Source organism: Homo sapiens, chromosome 15 (assembly GCF_000001405.40).
Source record: "Homo sapiens chromosome 15, GRCh38.p14 Primary Assembly".
In the NCBI taxonomy this organism is placed as follows: Eukaryota; Metazoa; Chordata; class Mammalia; order Primates; family Hominidae; genus Homo; species Homo sapiens.
The window spans coordinates 82,455,883-82,480,620 of record NC_000015.10 but is presented as its reverse complement, the minus strand read 5'-3'; the positions used below and the strand labels follow the sequence as shown (position 1 = coordinate 82,480,620).

The 24,738-nt window shown below is 56.1% G+C and overlaps 2 pseudogenes across 3 annotated transcripts in view, besides 4 other annotated features; one reads left to right on the top strand and one right to left on the bottom strand.

The window, feature by feature from the left end:
- GOLGA2P10 (GOLGA2 pseudogene 10) overlaps nucleotides 1-9,144 on the top strand; it is a 42,523-nt pseudogene extending 33,379 nt beyond the window's left edge. The window contains exons 2-8 of one of the 3 annotated variants that reach the window (NR_026811.3): nucleotides 2,695-2,783; nucleotides 3,039-3,227; nucleotides 3,323-3,418; nucleotides 3,498-3,588; nucleotides 3,681-3,835; nucleotides 5,006-5,143; nucleotides 7,140-9,144. The product of NR_026811.3 is annotated as a GOLGA2 pseudogene 10, transcript variant 1 (transcript). Of the gene's footprint in view, nucleotides 1-2,694; nucleotides 2,784-3,038; nucleotides 3,228-3,322; nucleotides 3,419-3,497; nucleotides 3,589-3,680; nucleotides 3,836-5,005; nucleotides 5,144-6,807 lie in introns of all 3 variants that reach the window. The other 2 variants (NR_103496.2, NR_033936.3) reach the window with 2 other exon arrangements.
- On the bottom strand, nucleotides 10,611-21,154 carry CSPG4P10 (chondroitin sulfate proteoglycan 4 pseudogene 10; annotated as a pseudogene).
- Nucleotides 11,554-12,054: an enhancer, noted in NCBI's record as "H3K4me1 hESC enhancer chr15:83137289-83137789 (GRCh37/hg19 assembly coordinates)". NCBI's record gives its function as "activates a minimal SCP1, AML or CMV promoter by ChIP-STARR-seq in naive H9 embryonic stem cells {active_cell/tissue: H9 hESC(naive)}" and the evidence as "EXISTENCE:reporter gene assay evidence [ECO:0000049][PMID:30033119]".
- Nucleotides 21,231-22,219: an enhancer, noted in NCBI's record as "H3K4me1 hESC enhancer chr15:82988342-82989330 (GRCh37/hg19 assembly coordinates)". NCBI's record gives its function as "activates a minimal SCP1, AML or CMV promoter by ChIP-STARR-seq in naive and primed H9 embryonic stem cells {active_cell/tissue: H9 hESC(naive and primed)}" and the evidence as "EXISTENCE:reporter gene assay evidence [ECO:0000049][PMID:30033119]".
- Nucleotides 21,231-22,236: a biological region, named in NCBI's record as "hESC enhancers GRCh37_chr15:82988342-82989330 and GRCh37_chr15:83127113-83127972".
- Nucleotides 21,377-22,236: an enhancer, noted in NCBI's record as "H3K27ac-H3K4me1 hESC enhancer chr15:83127113-83127972 (GRCh37/hg19 assembly coordinates)". NCBI's record gives its function as "activates a minimal SCP1, AML or CMV promoter by ChIP-STARR-seq in primed H9 embryonic stem cells {active_cell/tissue: H9 hESC(primed)}" and the evidence as "EXISTENCE:reporter gene assay evidence [ECO:0000049][PMID:30033119]".

The following is a 24,738-nucleotide window of genomic DNA, read 5'->3' as shown; positions in this document are numbered from 1 at the left end:
TGCAAACGAGAATTTAGTATAAGGAAAAGGTGGTATTTTAACTTAATACTGAAAAGATAGATTATTCTGTAAATGGTTTTAGGAGAACTATTTGAGGAAGTCTGAGTCTTAACTCCAATTTTTGTCAAAATAAGTTAGTTGGTTTAAACACATCTATTCTTAAAAATTAGAACAGAAGAATATTGGTTTGAAGATATTTTAAGAGTTAAGGCTGAGGCTGGGCACAGTGGTTCACGCCTGTAATCCCAGCACTTTGCGAGGCCAAGGTGGGAGGATTGCTTGAGCCCAGGAGTTTGAGATCAGCCTGGGCAACATAGCAAGACTCTTTCTCTCTCTCTCTCTCTCGATATAGATATACATATAAATATACATATACAAATAGAAAAAAAAAAGAGTTAAGTTTTATATGGAGAGCCATGAAGATAAGAGGTAAAAATTAAAGGCTTGATGGACACATGTTTACATCTCCATCAAGGGGGTTGATGGGAAAGAATGATAGACATAGCTCCATTACTGCTACCTCCTTTTAGGAAGTTGCTTCTGAACATCTAAAGATATCAGTTTTATAATAGAAATGAGTTATTTTTCAGTGTCTAAAACACCACATGAGATACATACATACATGCATACATACATAAATATGTTCATAAAGTTAAATGAAATAGGATATAAAATTGGGCCTAGTGTTTAAAAGGTAAATATATTTACATGAAGGAGAAAACAACTCACCTCCCACTCTTAGAGCCTCTGCCAGTTTATCATAGCCTAGTTTCTTGAGAGAATAAGCTACATGTCTTCACCTTTTTTCACTGAGCTCATTATACTCTGGATTCTGCCTTCATCGTTGCACTAAAATTTATCTCCTAGTTGTCAAATCCAGTGGCTCCCCTCTTAGTCCCCAAATTGACCCCTCTGCAGTATTTTGATACTGTTGATTGTTCCTTTGTTGAAACATTCCTCCATTCTTAATGTCCACCAATAAAGAGTTGGTTAAATAAAAATTATAGTGTACCGTTTTATAATATTCTGTTGTTCTGTTGTGGACCAAAAAATGCAGCCAGTCTTTCCATAAGAGCACGTGCAAACTTCTAAGATATATTAAGTAAAAAAGTAAGGCATAAAATATTGTGTATAATCTGACCCCTTTAGTACACAGTGTAAAAACATCTGTGTCTGTGCTTCTTTATACTTACTTTTTTCTCCCCTGGTGAATACAGGAAACTGTGAATAGTACAACACAATTAAAAAAAAAAAAAACTGTGTGTCTGCTGCACCAGGACCTGTGATAATTGGGTATAAAAGACAAAAAAGACATGTCCCTGTCCTCTGGGAAGGGACATGATAATCAAATGAGACTTCTGTCGGATTCTTTTCTCCTGTTTTGATCTTATCACCCTTTCTTGGTCTCCTCCGATCTCTTCTTCCTTGTCCTACTTCTTCTCTTCTCATTCTGTGCTTTCTCTGAGTAATCTTTGACTCCCATTACTTAAGTCATGACCTGTGTTCCAGGGACTCCTAAATTTGTATTCATCTCCAGAGTTTCAAACCCATATATCTGTCTGTATATCATATATTTAGGGAATCTCACTTGGAGTGACATGGGTGTTCAAAATGATGATATTTAAATTTTCACGTATCCATCTCCTAGCACTCTATCTAGTCACATATGCCTAAACCTGGGAACTGTCTTAATATTCTTTTATATACACCTGTTCTGACCTCCCCCCCAAACTAGTAAATTTCTAAGACCTGTCCTTCTGAATGTCTCTTACAATTTTCCCTGTGATCTCAGTTTCTTCCTCCCATCCCTCAAATGCTTTGTGTGTGTGTGTGTGGTGGGGGAAGAGAGTAAAATTGAAATTTGTGGAAAACGTACTAGCCTGTCTGTCTGTCTTTCGAGGTGAAGTCTCCCTCTTGTCCCCCTGGCTGGAGTGCAATGGCACAATCTTGGCTTACTGCAACTTCCATCTCCTGGGTTCAAGCAATTCTCCTGCCTCAGCCTCCTGAGTAGCTGGGATTACAGGCACCTGCCACCATGCCCAGCTAATTTTTGTGTTTTTAGTAGAGATGGGGTTTCATCATGTTGGCCAGGCTGGTCTCGAACTCCTGACCTCAGGTGATCCACCCGCCTTGGCCTCCCAAATTGCTGGGATTACAGGTGTGAGCCACCATGCCTGGCCACTACCCTGTCTTGTTGCTTGGTATGACTCCACTACCCTGCTGCCTCTCTCCCCGTACAGCAGCATAATTTAGGAATCAGAGAGACTGAGGAGGATATATATTATTTAGGTGCACCGGCCCAGTCAGATTAACATCTAAAGGACTGAGCCCTGAACAAAGAGTCAGGTTACCTTTTAAGCATTTTGTGTCGGTCATTATGCCGACAAGGTGTCCGCACTAAGTTCAGTATCAGTATGGTGACCTCCTGGGAACAGGTCATCGGCTTGCCTAAGGATGGGAGAACTGGCTCAGGTCAGAAAGGGAGCAGGTCAGAATTCCTGCACCAATCGGTAGTGGGACTGTGCCTGGGCAATATAGCAAGATCTTGGTTCTTAAAATTCAAAATAAAGAACAGCTCATTCCCCTCTGGGGAGGGGCTGGCTCAAGGTTACACAGTGAGTGTGGGGGCAGAGGCGGGCCCACTGTACCTCCCTTGTTGGGTTGTCTGAGGACCCCTCTGGCCACCCCCCACAGGAGATGGAGGAGGACATCTGGACAGTGAGCAGGAGGCGCTTCGGCCCATGCCGAACATCCCAGGGGACCTGGAGAGCCGGGAGGCCATGGTGAGCCTGACTTTCCCTGCCCCTACTTTGCCACCTTCCTCTGTGGTCCCTCCGAAACCCCCTTATGTTCTTGGTTTCCCCGCCTTCTGACTTCTGTGGACTTTCTCTGCTTCTGGGAGCCAGTGGTCAGACACCATTTCACCTGTGACCAACAGGTGCACTCTGTGAGGCCCGAAAGGAAGGGGCTATGCTCCATCTGCCTGCCCCAGTTGTTATGTGTATACCCCTACAAGAATACTCACCTCTTGTCTTCAGGTGGCATTTTTCAACTCCGCTGGAGCCAATGCCCAGGAGGAACAAAGGGTGTGCTGCCAGCCCCTGGCTCACCCAGTGGCCTCGTCCCAGAAAAAGCCAGAGGTAGCGGCCCCAGCCCCAGAGAGTGGGGGTGAGTCTGTGTTTGGGGAGACCCACCGGGCCCTGCAGGGGGCCATGGAGAAGCTGCAGGTGAGTAGGTCCTGGCATGGGCCAACAAGGGGGGCGGGGGGGCAGGACAAGGCAGGTGACTCCTGACATGTGACCCCATTATTTTGGCTCCACAGCGACTTTATGGAAGGAGAAGGTGGACCTGAAGGAGCGGGTAGAGAAACTAGAGCTTCAATTCATCCACCTCTCAGGACAGACAGACACCATAGGGAGTGAGAGGCTAGGGCACCGCTGGGGGGAGCTGCCAGGCCGTCCGAGGGGCCCCAGCATCTGAGCCATGTCCTCCTGCAGGAAAGTACATCAGCCAGGGGGCAGTGTCAGAGACGCAGCACTGGGAGAGGAGGACATCGTCAGGCTGGCCCAGGACCAGGAGGAGATGAAGGTAGGGTGTGCAACATCTCGGTGGGGGAGGGTGGGGGTGGGTGTGAACGTGCGTGCTGGCACCGGCATGGCAGCTAACACCCCTTCCTCCAGGTGAACCTGCAGGAGCTGCGGGGCAGGTGTTGCAGCTTGTGGGAGACCACAAGGAGGGGCATGGCAAATTCTGACCATTGCCCAGAACCCTGCTGATGAGCCCACTCTAGGAGCCCCAATAGCCCAGGAGCTTGGGTGTGCTGACGAGCAGGGTGGTGAGTAGAGCCCTCAGGCGGGGTGGGCAGGCAGGAGCAGGGGAGGCTCACACTGTGCTCAGATTCCCACCCCCCCTCCCTCTCTCTGAAGATCTTTGTGAGGTGAGCCTCACTGATAGCGTGGAGGCTGCACCAGGAGAGGACAGGGAGGGTTCTCCCCACGACAACCCCACTGCACAGCAGATCCAGCAGCTGCTTCCTGTAATGCAGGACTCCCCAGGAGCACCCAGGCATGGGCAGCAACCCCTGCATGCCATTCTTTTTGGGCTCCCAAGAACAGGGAGATAAACACCACCATCATCTGAGAGCCGGGAAGGGGAAGGCGTAGGTGTGGGCGTGGCAAGGTTCCTGGAAAAGAGGGGCTGGAAGGGAAAGGGGAGGAAGATGGAGGGAGAAGCCGGAGCTTCATAGGTAGTGCCTGGGGGCTGTGGCAGTCCTCCCCACCCCACACACACTGGCCTCTCTCATGGCACCCAGGCAGTCCACCCACAGTTCAGACCAATGCTCAACTCCCCCGGCTTCCCTCTTCTGTGGTCACCCCATCTTCCAACCCACTGGCCCAGGGCCACCTCTTGCTTGGGGAGCCCCACCCAACAGCCACCAAGCCTGACAGAAGGAACACTGCTTGAACCAAAATGGTGAAGCTGTAAGGGATGGCTGGCTGGAGTGAGCGCCAGAGGCCCCTCTCTGGGCAGTCAGAAAGCCCAGGGTCCACTGAAGGGACCCTGGGGAAGGCAGGGAGGGCAGGTAGCTAGATGCCACTGCCCATAGACTTATAAGTCTAAGAGGGGAACCTCAACTGGTTGGCGGGGGGCTGCAGGTTGCATAGGTGAGGCTGGGCCCTTCCTGCTGGGAAAAGCAGAAGAGGGAGACTCCGTGGCAGGAAAGGCAGGTGGGCTCGCTAGGCGGAGCTCAGCTGGGCCAGCAAGCACTGTGGTCTCCTTGGCTGAATAGCACAGGTGACCCCTAGGAGCAACAGGCCAAGGTCCGTGAGCCTGCTGGCTGGCAGTAGTGCTTCAGTAGTGCTGGCCAGGGACCCAGCCTTCAGTCACATGCTAGCAGCTGTGATGGTACCTGGGAGGGAGGGAAGGGGGCTGTGTGTCCTTGCATGGCCTATGAAGTGTGTTGTGGGATAACCGTGTGTATAGGACTCTCAGGCTTTTATCCTAGATCACCACTGGATTGCTGACAGATAGAGGACGTGGGACCGTGACTATCACCCCTAATCTGCAGTGGATTTGGCTCTCGGCACTCCCAGGCTGGGAGCTGGATACCTGCCCTGGCAGCATGACTCAGACTGCATGACAGGTACGGCGTGCCCAGGATGATGTGCCCAGGCCTCTGGCCGCCTGAGTCCAGCCCCCCACACAACCCCCTCCAAGCTCCCAGCCCCTACACCATAAACCATGAGCTCTGTGCCCTCTCTGATGGTTCCACATCTGCCACCTTCGGCATGGAGCCTGTTGTAAGAGCCCCCAGGCTCAGCCATGGAGACCTTGAGCAGTGGCACTGAGTCCTGTGGCTGGCAGGGAGGGAAGTGAGACAGCCAGCAGCACAAGGACAGAAAGAGGAAAGAGCAAGTCTGCAGCTCTAGAAGGGAGGGGCAGGCAGCCTGGCTCTGAGGCTCCAGGTATGCCCCCTGTGTGGAGCTGGGGCAGCGGGGCGGGCAGACCATTCATGCAGCAGGCAGTGAGGCATGTACCTACCATGGCTGATGCTCCTCAGGGGCCACTGATAGTGATTCTGAAAGACAGCATCAAATCACATGGCAGGTCCCATGCATGGGTGGGGCAGGCCTGGGGGTGGCGGACACACGCACACGCCAGATTGTGCACACACATGCTGTGAGGCCCCACGGCCCGCATGCACACTCTAACACATGCCCACAAACAACACGCATACGTCGCCCTCTCCGCCACCTCCCGGTGCCCAACACCCTCACCAGCCGGCACGTGCCGCATGGATCTGGGGCGTGCAGCCACTCGGCACACTGAAGCACATGCGTGGGCAGAGTCACAACACAGATGCTCACCTGCACACAGAGGCATTTGCACCAGCTCCCTGCACACTCGTGCCTGGCGTGCTCAGAGGACCACCCATCCTGCTCAGGGAGACAGGGCTTGCTCACTAATGTCCGGCTGTCATTTCTCCACCTAAGAGCCTTCCATGGCTCCCTACTGCCTACAGCGTTGAATCCCAACAAGTCATACTCTTTGGACTTTGAAGGTTCTCCACCCTGTGCCCCACCCTCCCCACAGAGCTCTTCCTCATTCTGTCTCTGTTCCCTGCTTTGGCCAGTGGCTATCCTCAATGTGACCCACACTACACCTCTGCCCACACTGCAGCTCTTTACCCAGTTACCCTCCAGTTCCTCACAACGTATGCCTATCTCAGTCATGCCCCGGACTGCATTGAAGCCAGGCTGCCTTGAAGAAGCTCTCCCAGACTGCCCTTTTCCCCAAGGCAGGGTCATGATTTGCCAAAGGTTTCGTGTGTGTGTTAGCAAGACTGGAGTCAGAGCAGGCATCAAACTTTACATCCCATATGTCACACCTCACCATAGACCTGGGTGCCAAATAGCCTGAAGAGTCTGAACTCACGTTGGCAGTTAGCAAAGTGCTCCTACAGCCGCATCTGCGGTTAACATAGCATCCCTATGGCCACTGTCTCCCTTGATCCCCACAGCCATCCTAGGAGAAAGGCAGAATGTCATAATTTGCTAAAAGGGATGCTGAGGCTCTGGGAGGGAAAGGGACTTGCCTAAAGCCCCAGGGTGAAGCAGCATCTCTGGACTCCCAGTCCAGTGATCTTGCCCAATACTTTGCTGCTTGCCTATACCCCTCTAACTTGGTCAACAGCACATCACAGGGCAAGCCCCAATCCCTGCTTCATTTTTATATATGGGCGCTGGTCCCACAGCCCCACTCTCCAGCCATTTGGAAACAAAAACAGATGCTATTGTTCTTCCTTAGAGAACGTGGCCAGTGGAGACGGCACACTGGAAATCAGAGTGAATGTTCTTGAAAGAGGGTCACGGGTCAACAAGGCCCAGCCAAAGGATGCAGTAGAACCATTTTCCTTAGAAATCTTTGGGAGTGAAGTAGGCTTCAGCCACTCCCATCCCTGCCCTCGCGGCTACCACTACCCCATTAGTTTAGACAGGGTCGGGCGGGGAGGGGTGTGGAGAAGAAATGAGCTTGCCTGTGGCCCCCAGGCTCCCTCTGTCCTAGCTCAGGTCTGGGTGCCATTCTTTACACTCGTGTGCTCGCTCACGCACACATCACACACCTTGCTGGTCACACAGTCACAGACTCGCCTCTGCTCCTGTGGTCCAGTGGCCGGACACCCCCTGGGATGGCTCAAAGGAGTCAGGACTTGGAAGTGGGGACATCAGGGTAGCTGAAGGAAATCCACACACCCAGAGCATCTCGGAGTTCAGACTCTCAGACCTGAAGTAGGCGCCCCCGGGACTGGGCTAGGAGTTGGACGGAATGGAGGATGGAGGACAGCGAGAAGAAAGGAAGAGAAATGCAAAGTGTGGGCAGCCGCCAAGAGTGAAAATAGAGGGAAGTGTCATGCAAGTGCTGGACAGAAGGCGGCAGGTGGGACGAGCCCCACAGCCCCCTCCTCAAAAACGACCACCTCCAGGACTCAGTGATCCCTGGGGGGCAGGCTCTGCCAGCCCTCGGCCACACGTGGCTCCGGCACCCATGGTCCCAGTGCCTTGGATGGAGACGGCCAGTTCTGGCGGCCAGATGTGGTGCTCTGGAATCCAGTCCCATTTCCTTCCTGGCCACGCCTGTCCAGCGGCCTCTTCAGCCGCATTCAGCCCCTACTTACCTGGGGACCCCGGCTGGGGCACGAGAGCACCAGGGGGGTAGGGCCCAAAGGGATCAGGGGAAGCCTCTGGCCTGGAGGGTATGGGGCACGCTTCCCCAAGGGCGGACCCGGCAGGAGGAAGCCCAGGAGCTGGGTCCTGCCGCCCAGGAGCTGGGCCCTGCCACCCAGGCCGGGCTAGGGACATGGCAGGGCCTGGGCATCCTGACGCTGGACTTGGGCGACCTGGGAGGCACAGGGAGGGGAGAGATGGGCGACCCCGCCCCAGCGCAGTGCCGGCCACACCCCAAGGCAGTTGCCAGAGCTTAAGCCCCGCCCCCAGCAGCGAGAACATCCCAGCTCCACACCCCCCCCCCCCCCGCAGCCAGTGCTCCTTGTCAAGCTCCCCCCGTCACTCCAGGTGGGAGCCACCCCGGTGAGGGGGTGTGCCACTTGCCCCCAGGGCACTCCTCTGGGCATCCCGGGTGGGGGATTTTGGGGCCGTGGGGGGCAGTCTTTGGTACCTGTGTTCGTCAGGGATGCTCTGACAACCAGGTGTCGTCCACGGGCGGGGGCATGGGCATGGTGACAGTGGTCCTGTTGATGTCACCGATGATGCTGAGCGCCTCCTTCAGCGCGTGGTGCATGTGCAGCATCTCGTCGTGCTGCTGTGCCTGCTCTGCCAACTCCTCCATCAGTGTGTTCTGGTTCCCACATGAGTACATATTGGCCAGCAGCTCCGAGATGATGAACTCCGGGGTCTGAGAGTGGGCAAACAGGGAAGAAGGTTGGGACCTGGTGCCTGTGCCGCCCTGGCTGCCTTGCTGGGCCCTTCTGGGACTGTGCGCTGGACTTGGAGCCCCTTGGAGTATGGCTTTTCACACGGGCTTCTATACCGCTTCGACTGGAAGATCCACCTCCCCACTGCCTTTTCTCACTCAGATGGGGACACCGAGGTCCAGAGGAAAAGACACCTGTCAAATGTCACAGATCTGGGAGGGGACTTAAGACTTATCATGCCAAGAGGACACCTGTCTACTCAGTTTTTTTTTGGTGGGGCGGGGGGCGGTGATAGGGTCTCGCTCTGTCACCAGGCTGGAGTACAGTGATGACTGCTCACTGCAGCCTCCACCTCCTGGGCTCAAAGTGATCCTCCAACGTCAGCCTCTCGAGGAGCTAGGACTACAGGCACATGCCACCACCAAGCCCAGCTATTTTTAAAATTTTTGTGTGGAGACAAGGTCTCACTATGTGGCCCAGGCTGGTCTCGAACTCCTGGGCTCAAGTGATCCTCCTGCCTCGGCCTCCAGGAGTGGGAGTTGGAGTTGATGCCTGGATACAGGAGCTCTGTGGGTGGGAGTGAGACAAAACACAGGGTCCTGAGCTCTGGGGACCAAGCAATGTCCTCTGGTGAAAAAAATCCTGGACTTGCTGGCAGAAGATTTGCCTCTTACTCGCCATGTGCTCTGAATACATTTACCTGCCCTCTGGGAGCTTCAGTTTTCTTATCTGAAAAATGAGGACACCTGACCCCTTCCCTGCCCAGTTCAGTGTTGTGGGACAGGGTTGCTGTCAAGACAATACCCAGTCCTGCCCTCCTCCCTGAGTGGGCCAGGTAGCCCATGTAGCCTCTTCCCAGCTTTCCTGGGTGGCACTGCCAGCCTGGTGCCCATTCAATCTAGTCCTTCATCTTGCTGGAGCATGGGGAAGCTCTGAGTAACATGGGACTATAGAGTGCAAGAGGGTTGCTGATGGTCTGGGTCCTGTGCCCTCCTCATTCCTGGGCATTCTTGACAAAGGCTCCCAGCAACTGAGGGTACGCAGCAGCTGTAGACACCAGCCTGATGAATATCTCATTGTGGGAAGGGCACCATAGCAGGAGTGGAGCTCCAGGGAAATACAGAACCGAGGTCTGGGAGGTGCTGATGTGAGAGGCCCAAGAAACCTCGGCTTTGCACTTGCTGAGTACCATCTGCACCTCTCAGGAGGGAGAGCGCCAGGCTCAGGAGGTCCTTGCCGAAGCAAGGGAGCTTGAAAAGGGGGCTGGGGTGGGCTCTGCCATTTTCAAGGGCTGACAGGGATCCCCTCTGGAGGTACTTGGGGCAGTGCTGCGTGCCGTGGCTCCTGAGTGACAGAGTCAGCTCTGCGCCCCACAAGACCGCTCCCTGCCGAGAACTCACTGTGATCATGTGCTGGGTCCAGATGCTCACGCAGCCTCCTGATGGGAGCATCAGGTGTGCTGCCTGCCCAGGGCGGCCCACAAGAGTCTGCCCTGCCCTGCCCTGCTCTGCTATGGAACAACTCCCATTCTGCCTTTGGGGAGAGGTGTTCATTTAAACCATGAGTGGGCTGGCCCCCATGGCACAGTTACCACAGAGAGTCTGCCACTACCCATGGCTGAGAGCTCTAGTTCTTCTCTGAAGCCACCAGGACAGATGAACAGTGGCTTCCCCCTTTTGGCCGACTCAGCTGCCTTTCATCAGCTCATCTGCTCCTAGGATCCACTCTTCCTCTGGCTGGCACCTGATCTGAGCCCGAGGCTCACACCTCTGCCCACAGGCCCCAGCAGCTGCTTCACCTCCGACTCCATCCCCCACCAAGCACTGCCCCTCACCAGCTGCTGGGGTGCCACTAGTGCCCCTACATGGTTCTCCCTCTCCAGACCCTTGGGTCCAGCTCTAGCTTCCTTCGGGAAGCCACACCCCAAGACCCCAGCCCTGCTCTGGGGCCCTGTATCCCCGACTTCCTGCATTCTTCTCCCTCCTTCTGGGAACATGAACTTGCCCTGCCAGCCTGATGACTCCTAGAGGGCAGGACACCAGGTCCTGGACCATGGCAGGCCTGGGAGTGTCTGCTGCCGGTGATGCTGGAGCTGGTGCCCATGTCCACATGATGTCCATGGCACAGTGGCCACCTGAGGCTGGGCGCATCTGAGTGGTGGCTGCAGAGTGGGGCCCTTACCTCTGCCTGAGTGAAGTTCACCAGGTCCTCCCCTGTGCTGTCATGCTGGGCGTGGAAGAGCCGGCCTAGCTGGAGGCCCCGCACCACATGGTAGAGCAGGAGCTGGGGGTCGGTGCCTGCTGGCTCTGAGGCTCTGGCTGCTGAGTGGCTGGACGGACTCTGCCAGAGGCAAAAGGGGCCATCAGCCTTTGTGATCCAGGCCGAGGCCTGTGGCTGCAGAGAGGCAGTGTGACCCTGGCATGCCACCCTCAGCTCTGCCCCAGCCCCCCGCACCCAGGAACGCCCACAATCAGCACACCCACCTGGGCAGTCAGTGTCCGGCTGCCCTCCAGCGAGTGAAGCACTTGCTTCTGGGCCGTCACTCAGAAGCTAAGTGTCTGGAGGAAGTATGTTCACTGTCAGAGAGGCCAAAGTGGATGCCTCCGTCCAGGGCCCCTGGGGACAAGGGTGTTGGGTCCAGCTGGCCTGAACTGGCTCCCCACCTCAGGGTGCCCCCGTGGGCAGCAGAAACCTGGGGCTCGGCCCTCAGCACCCACCTCTGTGTGAGAACAGCACGAGCCCACCATCCAGCTGGGTCTGCATGAAGCTGCGCACCTCAGTGCCCGGCACCGCCCACTGCACTACCCACCCATTGCTGGGCTGCTTAATGGTGTACACCAGGTCCTTGGGCCCAGAGTAACCATCCGTGCTCCTCAGAGCCTCTGTAGGGATGGGCACGGTGGCCCCCTCCCACATCTGGGGACACAGGCCTGTGAAGGTTCTGCCCTGCCACACTTACCCACCCCTTCCTCCCCGGCCCTGGGCTGCCACCAGGGCTCCAACCCCACTGAGGCTCAGGCCCTCAGGTGGCATCAAGGCTGGCGCTGCTGTGGCTCCCCTGCACAAATGGCCTCCCTGCATTCACCTTCCCTGTCACCCCAGGGAAGGCCACCCTCCAGGCCCAGCATCCCTGCTCTTCATCTGTCCTAGTCCTGTGTGTCCCTCAAGACCAGCTTGTGTACCCAACCCAGGAAGGCCCTAGCTCTTACCGTCACCAAGTTCTCACCCCCAGAAACCCCCAGCGCTGACCAACAGTGCTCCTTAATCTAGCTCACTGGTGGGGCAGCAGTCTCCTTTCAGACCCTCCATGTGTGCCTGGCAGGGGCTGGGCACAGGTGGGAACAGTGATTTTAGAAACGAGCACTCCTTCCAGCTAAGGGAGGGGTGGGAGGCGCAGAGAGCTGAAGCCTGATGGTTGGCACTGTCCTGCAGCACAGAAGCAGTGCTGGGATGGGCCCAGGTGCTTCCAGAGCAGTTACGGGCCCTCCTCGTGTTGGGCAAAGGGGGCCCCTTTTCAGGCCTCCCACTAGCAAGCAGAACAGGCACCCGTTCCTGAGGTCCTGGTACCACTCTTGCTGGGTCAATTACTTGTGGGCAGTGCTGCAGTGGGACTCACATGCCCAGAAAACAGCCCTCTGGCATTCCTGGGCTTCCTCCCCTGGCCGCAGGGAGCCCTCAGGCCGAGCCTTGGCAAGAGGGGCCATACTGTGGGAGGCAGGGCCCCATCACTGGGCTCCCGGAACAAACACGGGTAGATGGCACCACCTGGTGGCCGCACTGCCACACAGCCATCCCAGCCTGTGGTTCCAGGGTGCTGTGTCCCACTCTTCTGTGGCGTCCGCACCATGAGGCCACCCCCTACAGGCACATCCTAGACCACCAAAGCCCCCCGGTGCCCCATGTCAGAGACAGCCCAAGTCAGCCCTCTTGCGGAACCTTCAGTGGCTTCTGCTGACTGGGGAGGACGCGCCCCAGAAGCTGGGGTTCAAAGCCCTGCCACGTGGGCTTAGTAAAGCCATGCCCTTTCTGTTCCACCAGAACTACTTTTGCAATCATGGAGAAGTTCCATCCCATCTCTGGGCCTCAACTTCCACCTTTGCCAAATGGGGGCCCTGCTCTGCTGTGGACAAGGGGCAGGAGTTTGGGAAGCCAAGCTGAGGCCTCCACTTGCTGGGGTGAAGGTGGGAAGCTTAACGGTCCCACCCTGACGCCAGCCCTTAAGGGCTTGTAAGTGATTCTTTCAGGTGTTCTGGTCCTAAGCCACAGGAGAAGGAACAGCAGAGCCACCCATGGCTGCTCAGAAGTCTGCCTACCGTACTTGCAAATGTCCAATAACAAAACCTCCCACCTGTGTTCTATTTCAGCACAATCTCACATCTCTCCTTCCAACAACTGCGTGAGGCACACAGTAGTGTCCTCATTTTGCAGAGGAGGAAACTGAGGCTCAGAGGGGGGGAGATCTGTGCCGGGAAGTAGGGGACATTGGCCTCTTTCTCAAAGCAGACATGGGGGGTGGTCCCAGGAATATGCTCACCTGCAGGCCTGAGTTTGTATGAGGTCGGGGGTTGGCCATTGACAGGCAGGATGGTGACAGTGAAGGCCACAGGATGGCTCTGGCGGTCCATCTCAGAGGCATTAGCCATCAGGACAAAACCGTCAGTGTCTTGCTCCCATCGTGCAGGTACTGGATCAGATGCTCTTCCACCTAGGGGCAGGCCCAGGGCTGGCAGTCAGGCCCCAGCAGTACCCTTCATGTTCTGCCTTTGGGTGCAGGAAGAGACTGACCCTTTTAGGGCCTCAGCTTCCATTGGTGGAAAATGGGGACCATAAGTTCTGGTTCCCAGAGGAGTTGTGAGGAAGAAAGGGGATATTTTATTTTATTTTGAGACAGAGTCTCTCGCTCTGTTGCCCAGGCTGGAGTGCAGTGGTGTGATCTCGGCTCACTGCAACCTCTGCCTCCCAGATTCAAGCGATTCTCCTGCCTCAGCCTCCTGAGTAGCTGGGACTACAGGTGCGGGCCACCACACCCGGCTAATTTTTTGTATTTTTAGTAGAAACAGGGTTTCACCGTGTTAGCCAGGATGGTCTTGATCTCCTGACCTCCTGATCTGCCCACCTCGGCCTCCCAAAGTCCTGGAATTACAGGCATGAGCCACAGCGCCCAGCCCGAGATACAGCATCTAAAGCATAGGTCTTTCTGAAATGTGACTCCCTGTCTCCTCTCTGTATAACCCCTGGACTGGGAGTCCCCGGGGCTCCCTCCACTCTGCCCCCAGAGCTGGGCTGCAGCCCCTGGGCCTCTCTCACAGCCGTACCTCTCTCCAGCAGAAGGTGCTGAGGGTCCTGGCTTGAGGCCCATCCTCCTTCTGCAGGGCCCCATGCCGGGGTGGCTCCAGCACCTGCAGGCCAAGGCCCGGGAGAGTGGGGAAGTAGGACCTGGCAACGCGGAGCAGTGGAGGGGCCAGGGTGCAGCTGCGACTGTGCCCCCTCTACTGCTGAAGTTTTGTGCCCCCAGTGGGGATGACAGCAGGCAGCACCTCCAGCTCCACGTGACGTCCTCAAGGGGAGCACCCAGGCCGAGGCCACATCCAGCGAGAAGGCATGGCTCCGGGCCTCAGGGCGGGAGTGCAGGTAGAGGATCCTGCCTGTGTCCACTGCCTCTTGGGAGAAGCTCTGCACGGGGTCCAGGCTGGGTGGCTCATCTGCCAAGATGCCACGCAGCACCATCACCAGGTAGCCGGCACTCGGTGGGCTCTTCACTGAGAAAACGATGTCTGCTGGCGGCACTGCCTCCTGGGCTACCTGGTTAACAGAGGTCATGAGGACTCACAAGGGAATGCAGAGGGGTCTCAGAGGGGCCCACTGTGGCCCTAAGCAGCCAGAACAGCCTTGATCTTGCTCCACTTATTTCCCCAGATACCACTGCTCATTTAGTGACACACACACATGTGGGTTCACACACACAGCAGCCAGACATGCAGCTGGTCACATTTTTTGTTTTTTTGAGACAGGGTCTCACTCTGTCACCCAGGCTGGAGTGCTGTGGTGTGATCACAGCTCCCTGCAGCCTCAACGTCCTAGGCTCAAGGGCTCAGCCTCCCAAGTAGCTGGGACCACAGTCATGTGCCACCATGCCTGGCTAATTTTTAAATGTTTTGTGTAGAGATGGGGTTTCACTGGGTTGCCCCAGCTGGTCACATGTTAATACCCACCCCACACATGGTTACGGGGTGTCGGTCAACAGCTTGAGATGCACTCCCTCAGGGAGGTGCATAATCACATGTCCCCAGACTCAGTGACACAGACATATGAGTTCATCAGATGCTGACGCAGTCACACAGGTACAGGTACACATGCGTGTGTGCACACGCACACAGGCCCCCTGCTCAGGATCTGTTCAGGCCTGTGGCTGGTTTGCTGGCAGCATCCTCCCCAACCCCTGCTATTACCACCCAGGACCATCAGAGGGTGCCCTGCCCCACCCCACCCCACCCCTCCTAGAGGCACAGGCACCCCCAGCACAGGCCCTACAGAGCTCACACCCCAAAGGCCACATGGGCTCCCTCACCTGATGGGCCATCCACAAGAGGCTAAACTGCCTCCAAACTCACATTCCTGTTTTGTGCCTTCGGCCGGAATGTTCCTTTTGCGTGGAATACCACTCCCCATTCTCTGCTCCTAATGGCCTGTACTCTTCAGAGCCCGGCCCAAACACTGCCTCCTCCCATGAGGCCTTCCTGATGCCAGATCTGCTGGCTCACCATGGGCCCCAAGCTCCAGATGCAGACCAGAAGGGTCTCCGAAATAAGCAGTGTGGAAGAGTAAGGCTGAGAGCGGGCAAGGACTGGCCTGAGGTCACAGGGCATGTCAGATCTCTGGAAGGCCCGTGGCTGCTCTGTGGGGTTCCTGGGTGAGCAGAAGCCCTTGACAGACCCTCCTGGTCCTGGTCTGGGCTCTGAGAAGAGAGCGGGGTACACAGGGGTCTGAGAGGCAGCGGCCTGTCTCCACGGCCAGCAATCCCAAAAGTTCAGGACCCGTGATGCCCTCCCAGGGAACTGACTGCAATGCAGATTCTCGGGCTCCACTTCAGAGATTCTGTAGGGCTGGGTGGCGTCCAGGAATCTGCATGCTCAGCCATGCCATGGACATGAGTGGACACCAGCTCTAGAGGCACACACCACTCCCAGGAGGATGGGTGTACAGCAAGCTCCCCAGAAACTCTTGGGAACACAACATATATGGGAGCACATCTGAGGCACGTGCACACACGCAAGCTGGGACCACCACAGGTACAGCCCAAGTCACATGTGTTCCCGGCATGGAGGCTGGGAGGAAGGCCCTCTACCTGGTCCACACCCCGCTCACCACCTCCAGCTCCTCACCTCCAGCTGGTCCCTTCTGATCTCAGCTGCCTCTCCCTGGAAGATGTAGATCTCCTTGTGCTGGGCCAGCTTCAGTGGGGCTACTGGGCCCTCTAGGGCAATGGTCACTTGTAGGGTGGCATCTGTGTGCACTGGTCCCACATCCATTGAGAAGGCCAGGGTGTTGCGGGAGCTGAGGCTGCCATTGTGGCCATAGAAAACAGCCCCAACCAGCAGGTCCTGCTGAGAGAAGGCTGTGGCTGGCTGAGTGGCTTGGAGCAACTGTCCCCAGTGAGGGCTGTCTGTGACGTGGTAGTGGGCCTCATCCCTACTGCAGATGTTGAGGTTGGTGCCCAGGTGGAGCTCGGCCATGTTGATGGTACCCTGGCCTCCTTGAGGAACCATGAGGCCGGAGCCATTGGCCACACAGAGGTAAGGCTCCAAGGCCTGCACCTCCAGCACCGTGATGGCCTGGTGCTGCCCATCGGACACCTGCAGCGGGATCCAGCCGTGGTCAGCCTGAGTGTGTGAACAGGACTCGCCTCTTCCTGAGGCCCCTCCTGGATGAAGCGGCAGATGGGCTGCATGGGCTCATCCGTGGCCATGATACTGCCAGAGAGGAGGTCCTGGTGGGTCAGCACCAGCTGGGCCTCAGCAAAGCCCGAATCAGCATTGCTGAAGGCCATGTTGTCTGTAGTCAGCAGCCGCCACCTACCCCAGGCCACGTGGAAGACGCAGCTGATGGTCTGCATAGGGGCGTGGTCATTCACAGGCTGGATGGCCACTCAGAAGACACCCCATACCTCCTCCCAGGCCACGTCACCACTGCTCTGGTCCTGATGGCAGCAGGAAATGGGATATCATCTTCTGTGATCTCGGAGTCATCATGCTGCTAGACCAGCTGGCCATGCATCAGGTCTCCATTGGTGAAGGATGTCACCATAGTGATCTTGTCCTGTGTCCCACGCCAAGTCAACCTCCCATGGCGGGGCTGCTCCATGACCTCATAGAGGTACCTGGCACTGTTGAGACTCTTGATGAAGAGCTGGTCAGCAGAGAGGACACACCCACCACCCTCGGGCACCACGAGGACAGGCATGTCTGGGTCACCGCCAATATGGATGGAGAAGGTACAGAGTGGGGAGAAATATGGTGGAGCTGTGACATGGAAACAGAAGGTGTCCTCCACTGCCACTGAGGCACGTGCCATGGCCCCATAGGTCACCTCTGCAGCCTGTACGTCATCCTGGGTGAAGCCCTGACCGTCTGACAGCATCGTGCCCTGTAGTTGAAAGTTGCCTTTCCTGGGAGCCTGAACCACCTCACAGTGGAAGGTTGGGGGGCTTGGGCCTGCCTCCTCCAGGGTGGCCTCCAGGTGGGCTGTGGTGAGGGCCTCCTGCTGGGTGTTCTGAGTGTGCAGTGGCTCCAGCTGCAGCATCCACACAGTGGCTCTCTGGATGGTCACTAGGAAGGACAGATTGCTCAGGATTTCCCAGCTCACCTGCACCTGCAGATCCAGGTTCTCCACGGTGTCCTCGGTGTAGTGCTGTGGGTCAGTGCTCAGGTACCTCACGTGGCCCTGCTCCACATCCTGCTGGTGGAACGCCTGTGTGACCCACCACTCAGCATCCTCCACCCCACCAGCCCCCTGCTTCTGCAGCTCCCTGAACGGCAGGCCTCCGGTGACACGGAACAGCACGGTCACATCCTGCCCCACGGCGCTGGTCTCCACCAACAGGTTGGTAGGCAAGATGGGCATGGCAGAGCCCTGGGCCAGATGCAGCCCTGTGCTGCGGTGGATTTGTATGGCCAGCTGGACAGCCACCACCTTCAGCATGGCCGGGGGGCTGGCCTGCAGTCCATTGCTGACCCGGAATGTCAAGTCCTGTGTAGGGCCACCACAGTGGACATAGACTAGGCTGCCGGCCTCCAACTCCCAGCAGGAGAACTCAGTCACCGGCTCCCCAGGCTGGTCTCGGTGCTCCACGGGGAGGCCAGAGGGGGTGCCAAGGAGCTGGAAGGCGAGGCCCTCACAGGCAGAGTCCAGGTCATAGGCCTGGAGAACCTCAGGCCCCAGAGGCTTCTGTGTGTGTTCCAGGATCACCATAAGGCTGCCATGTGGGAAGATGATGTGGGGTGGGTCATTGACAGGGTTGACCTGGATGGGCAGGAGGTCTGTTTGGCCCCTCCACAGGCATGAGGGCATGGGCAACCAAGCCATCACTGACACCTCCAGCACCAGCTGGTCAGAGGTGTCCTCAGGGCCATCGTGGATGAAGCGGGCCTTGCAGTTCACCACGTCCAGGAGGGTGAACATTTTTCATGCCTGGGCACCCAGGACATCCAGCTCGAGCTCGCTGTAGTGTGCCCCTCAGGTCACGCTGAACAGCACCTGGGATTTACGCAGTTCAGCCTCCATCAGTGCCAGCATGGGCTGCACATGCCACCACTCAAGCCAGGCTGTGCCACCCTCGGTCACCACCACTGCGCTGATAGCAGCTGGATGAAATTGGCAAAGACAGGAGGTAGCCCTGGCTCAGGCACGCATGGCTCAGCTAGCTCCACGGACAGCCAAGCCTTGGGAGCCAGGGTGGAGAAAGCTTCATAATGGCCATAGGCATTGTCTACCTCCTCCAGTCTGCAGCCAGCCACCATGTTGTGCGTCAGCAAGGCTTCCCACAGCCCCTGCCTCTAGCCATTGACACTGAGGTCTTCCATGCAGCCAGCCCAGCAGGGAGGCATTGGCAGCCCCTGGTGTCAGGCCTGAGCGGTGTTCCTGGAGGTGATGAGAGGCCTCTGCAACCAGCTCCCCAAGAAGGAGACTGTCACGTGGCTCCAGGTAGCTGAGGACTCCTCAGTTCGTGTGGGGTACTGGTCCATGGAGATTTCTAGCTGGTGAATGTTGATGTGGATGCTGACCTTGTGGGGCTGTGCGTCAGTCACAGGCACACTGTTGAGGAGCAATACAGTACCCTGGCCCTTCTCAACCATGGACCACAGGTGGCCCTCAAATATGTCCACATGGATGAAGTCCCCATGCCAGCCTGCTGCCTGGAAGGCCAAGGGTGCCTGCCAGCTCTGTGTGGTGAGTGTAAACTCCAGGGTTCCTTCATCCTGAGTGCCCCAGGCAGGCAAGGCAGCCAGAGAGTGGGACCCAGAGAAGCCCAGGGCCACATCATCATTGGCAGAAAACTCTTCAGCACAGCCCTCATGCTTATTGGGGGTCAGAGGCTGGAGGAGTCTGCAGCCATTGAGAGCGGCTGCATGGAGGCAACCCCTCAGGGGATGGCTGGTTCCCCTCAGGTAGGGCAGGCCAAGTCTCCCAGTGCTCCCAACAAAGAGCCCATAGGGGACTTCTAGGGGGGCTCCCAGGACTACGGAGGAGGCATTCAGAAACCCATTGACTGACAATGTGGGCCAGTCCTCTGAGACAGTCAGAACTGTGGTGTGGGGGACGGAGCCACTCAGTAGAATTTCTGCTGGGGTCTGCAGCCTCAGCTCCTCCTGGCCCAGGACAAGCCTGACCTGAGGAGAGACGGGGAATGGGAGATGGGGGGCAGCACTTTGAATCCATCATTTCCCTTATAAAAGCACAGTGGGTTCCCCACAGGGGGCCCCAGAGCAGAAAACCTAGGACAAGGGCCTCTGGTGCCACTCCTCTTGCCTTCCTGCCATCTCTTTATTCATCCTCCAAACACTCACCAAAGGAAACTCTGGGCCAGGCCTGGATGGGCTCTGGGGACCCTGGTGTGAATCAGATGTGGTCCTTGCCCACAAGGAACTGACATATAGCAAGATGCTCTTCTAGAAACCCAACCTGTATTTTTAAATTCTCCTCCTCTTTCCTTGAGTGAAAAGCACCAGAAATATTGTCTTGGAATCTAGATTTCACCCCTGGAATAATGGGTAACTGAGAATCCGTTGATCAGTCCCCCTAAGTTTGGCAAAGTTTCTCAAGGTCACTGAAGGAAGCCAGGCTAACTGTTCAGGGACAGGGAGCCCAGGCAGATGCTCTGTGTTCTGGGGAAAAAAAAAAAAAAAAAAGCTGCCTGACCTGTGGTGGAGGAATATCTCAAGGAGAGATGAAGGACATAGTTCTGTCACCATGACATTGACACAAGAAATGGCTCTGGTATGGTGCTCCCAGATGCTAGAATAGGTGATGGCAGAGTATGGGAACTGCAGAGGCAGAACACTAAGAACCATGATCTTGGAGTCCTGGTATGGTGCATCTCTGTAGGGATGTGGCATCACTACCTGCAGAGCTCAACAGCCATCAGCACCAGACTGCACCACATAGGTGTTCAACAGTGACACCTTGTGGCAATGAGCAGCAATGACAGCAGCAGACTGACCAAGCCCTAGTCCTCTTCCCACTGGGGTGTGGAAAGAGATGGCTGCCCCAAATTTGTTAATTTGTTTTTTTTTTCCTTCTAAAATAGAGATGGGGTCTCATTGTGTGGCTCAGGCCAGTCTTGAACTCCTAGGCTCAAGTGATCTTTCCACCTTGGTCTCCCAAAGTGGTGGGATTATAGGCATAAGCCACTGCACCCAGCCTGCCCCAAATTTGGACTAAGACCCTGGGTTCTTAAACTCTTCCTGGTATGGGGTAAGACTCAAGTAGGAGCCACAAGACTCCTTGATAATAAAGCTTGTGGTGTCTTGAAGGATGAAATGGAAAAATGAAGCTGAGGCAGTACTGGTGCTGTTACTCTCATGGACAGACAGTGGTGCTGCAGATAAATTGGTGCAGTGCCACCAGGATGCGCAGGGGTCATGGGGGCCCAGGAGGGGGTCTCGCCGAGGAGGAGGGGATGCCCACACTGAAACTTCAAGGAGAGACTAGAGTTCGGCAGGTACAGGGAATGGGTGGGTCACACACCTGGCAGGAGGAGTGTGATGACCAAAGGCCTGGCAGCAAGTGACCATAAGATGGCCAGGAACTGAAAGCAGTTCAGTGCAGTCAGAGCACAAAGGGCCAGTGAGGGCTTGTGGTGGGAAACATGGTTGGAAGGAGCCGGTGGGCAGAGCCAGTTCATGAAGGATTTACCATTTCTGAGCTGCTGCTGCCCATCCCACAGTGGAGAACTTGAGACCCCAAGAAAAGTGACTTACACAAGGTCAACAGCCAGCTGGGGTTCACTCAAAGCTAGACAAGGAATCTCGCCCCAATCCCAGGGGGACGTCACTCACCTGCAGGTGTCCAGAGTAGAGCTGCAGCAGGAGGTGGTCAGCTGGGCCTGCTGCCAGGAGAAGGAGGGCTTCGGGTTGGGACATGGAGAACTGCAGCTGCAGGTCTATGTCAGTCAGAGCCATGGCCACAGTCACCTCCGGGTGGTTCTAACCAAAGAAGGAAGCTGTGTGAGAGAGGGAGCTGTGGTCAAGGCTCAGATTCTTGCCTGGAGGAGGCGAGGTGCTGCAGGGAGGGATGGGTGGGTTGCAGAAAGGGGTCCGTGCTGGTGCACCCTCATGGTTCTGCCATACGGTGCTGCCTCTGAGCACTGCCCAGATCCCAGCATTTCCTTGGTCCTGGCACCAGAAGGCACAGCCTCACCTTGTGTCCAGCCCAGACCTTGACTTGGCAGGAGGTCAGACCCAGAAATTCCCAGCAACTCAGGTCTCCTCCTTGGAGGTTCCTGGAGCCAGAGGCCTCTGCCAGCTCTGACTCACCTCCCCTGGGCCCCAGAGGAGTCTCCCTCCCAGGTCTGGCTCCCCGACCTGGCCCAAAGGGAAACATCACTGGCCTGATCACCTGGCTTGGTGGTCACAGCCCTGAGGAATGGAGTTTCTGGAGAATCACCACCAGGCCAGATTGATCCCTGCTCAGATTCCTTCTCCTAAGTGCCCTTGTGCTTGGGCTCCTGTGCAGCACCTGCCGTGCCATGCCCCACCTCCATGGGTTGGCTGGGGCCACGGCTGGGATCTGGGGGTGATGTCAGTGCAGCCCACCTATCCCTGCTTCTCCCTCAGGCCATTCTTCCAGCTGCCATTGAGGGTGGGGGCAGGAGCTTATTGGCCTGAGTTTGCCAAGGAGTAAAGGCTCTCAGGCCAGATGGGGACCATATGCAGTGTCAAACCAAAGTGGGCCCACACTTCCTCCACTACCCCTGCTGTTGCTTCCTGCTAGAGAGCTATTCACAGTCCCCGCTGAGCAGTCAGATCCGGCCCCATTGTTTCCACCGTGGCCAAGGAACCAGGGATGAGAACAGCTCAGCTCCCAACCTCCCCAGGCCACCACTCAGTCTGAGGCTGAAGACAGGGCCTAGAAGGGGCTGAGGGTCTGCTGAGCAGGCCAAAGAGGGCCTCCCCAGGCAGAAGGCCATGTCTGGGCTTGCCTGGGATTAGTGGTTCTTATGCAGGGCCTGTTCTGTCCCACACTGGGACTCCTCCTCTTTTGAGTTGCTGCTTCCTCCAGGCAGTTTCCCCAAATTAGCCTCCCTGACTTCCAACCCGATGCCATAATTTCTGGTCTATGCCTTTTGCGGTGATAAGAGCCAAATATAACTTTAACTTTGCCTGCAGATGTCCAGGGCTGGGGGGCAGACAAACACAGGTTAAAAACTGTGATTCATCCCTGTTGGGTTTCCCTCAAACCCCAAGAACAAGCACAGGCTGATGGCCTTGATGGGGTGATCCAGCACCGACCTCACATGCACTGGTCCCTAGCCAGCCTGAGCCAGCTGCCATCTGCTCGAGGAAGTAGCTTCAGCCATTGGAGGAGTTGGAGGTTTGTATACCCTCAGGGCAGCCAGTCCCACCTGGAGGGATATCCAGGAAAGATCCCGTAAGAGCCCCTCGGGTTGAGTTAAATCCCCTCTAGTTATCCCCTCCTCCTGCCAGCACTGCTGGCAACACCAGCACCTTGGCTGGGAAGCTAAGGGAATCAAGCAAGCCCCGCAGACCATCTGCACGGGGGTGGCCCAGCAGTCTCAGCAGGCACAGCACAGCTTGGTGCCAGCAAGAGACAGACCAGGGAACTGCAGGTGGCGGCCAGCTACTGGGGTGCCTTATCTGCAAAGACATTGATTCCTAAGAGCAAAACACAGCACACTAAAGTGAGGGAGGCCATAGCACAAGGGGTGGGGGCACATGGCCCTGCAGAATGGAGCCACCACAGTCACCGGCTGGAACGGCTCACAGCAGCTGCCAGGAGCCAACTGTTGAATTTTCAGGAATTTTGAGAGGCAGGTGATACTGCCCACAGTGGGAATATTTATACCAGGAAAAGAGGCAAATACTGAAAATCAGGGTTCCCTCTCCCCAACAAAGCCCTTTGCGAAACATTTACCTACCCAGCACCCACGGGGAAGGGGGCACATCTCCCTGTGCCTACCCACCTGTGTTAATCAGGGTTCCCTAGAGGGACAGAACTAATAGGAGATATAGACAGATATAGATATAGATATAGATATAGATATAGATATAGATATAGATATAGATAATAGATATAGATATAGATATAGATAATAGATATAGATATAGATAGATATATAAAGGGGAGTTTATGAAGTATTAACTTACACAATCACAAGGTCCCACAATAGGCTGTCTGCAAGTTTGAGGAGCAAGGAGAGCCAATCCGAGTCTCAAAACTGAAGAACCTGGAGTCCGATGTTAGAGGGCAGGAAGTGTCCAGCATGGGAGAAAGATGTAGGCTGGGAAGCTAGGCCAATCTTACCTTTTCATGTTTTTCTGCCTGCTTTATATTCGCTAGCAGCTGATTAGAAAGATGGTACCCACCAGTATTAAAGGTGGGTCTGCCTTCCCCAGCCCACTGACTCAAATGTTTATCTCCTTTTACAATGCCCTCACAGACACTTCCAGTAGGTCAATACTTTGCAGCCTTCAACCCAATCAAGTTGACACTCAGTATTAACTGTCACACCACCCTTGCACTAAAGGTATACATACACCCACTAGGGCATGGTCAAGGTCAGAGATCTGGGCCAGACAGGAACTGAAGTAGATGGTTGGCCCTAACCACTGAACCACCTGCCTGCGGCCTCCTCCCATCAGAAGAGAGTAGAGCCTGTTTGGCCAGAGTGGAATGGTGGCAGGAAGCAGAGGTACTTTCCGGAGCGCTGGGGTCTGAATGGGTCCATTGAGGCTGGGCCCTGCTGCTTCCTGTAGGGCTGAGTGGGAGAGGCTCACAGAGGCTGCCTTGTGCAGCTGGAGCGCATAGCCAGGGAGGCCCCCACTCCAACAGAGGCCTCTGAGGCCTTGCTGGCCGGGGCTTTGGAAACTCTGACAGCGCTGCTTCCCTCACCTCCTGATCTCCTTTTTCTGCCCCTCTTACACTCTCTGAGGGGCTGCAGTTGCAAGAACCCAGAATCTCTGTCTTGGAGGTAGTGGGCGGGGGGCAGTTGAAGAGGGGCTTTGAATGGAGAGGGTCTGCACAATAAAGATGTAATAAGCTAGGAGTCAATCCAGAGGACTTCCTGGAGGAGGTGATGGTGGTGTAGAGTCACAGAGAGGGAGGAACAGGCAGTCTCAGAGGACAGCAGCAAGGCCAAGTGAGAGACTGGCAGAGGTATACAGGTCCCCGTTGGCTGGGGTGAGGAGGGTTTCTGCTCCCTCACCCCCCAGAGCCTCTGGCTTATCACAGGATAAGAGCCAGCTAAGCTCCAGGGGCTTTCCAGGAAAAGTGTCTCTTGGAAAGGGTGTGACCTTTTCATCGGTCCTGACAGCACCCTAGAAATAGCTTGGCCTTTTCCCTCCCCTGAGCTCCACAGAGAACACAGCCAGCAGAAGACACATTCCCTGTCATCCAGAAATGGGTTTGATTCTCAGCTGAGGGACAGCAGGACTGGTAGAGACTGTCAGGCCACACAGCTACCTACAGAGCACCCCCATGCTTGGTCGGGGGTGGGAGGGATGGCAGGGTCTGGCTGTCCACAGGCCGGGCATGACAGTGGGGCGCACTGGAAGTGGCGCACTTTGGAGGGG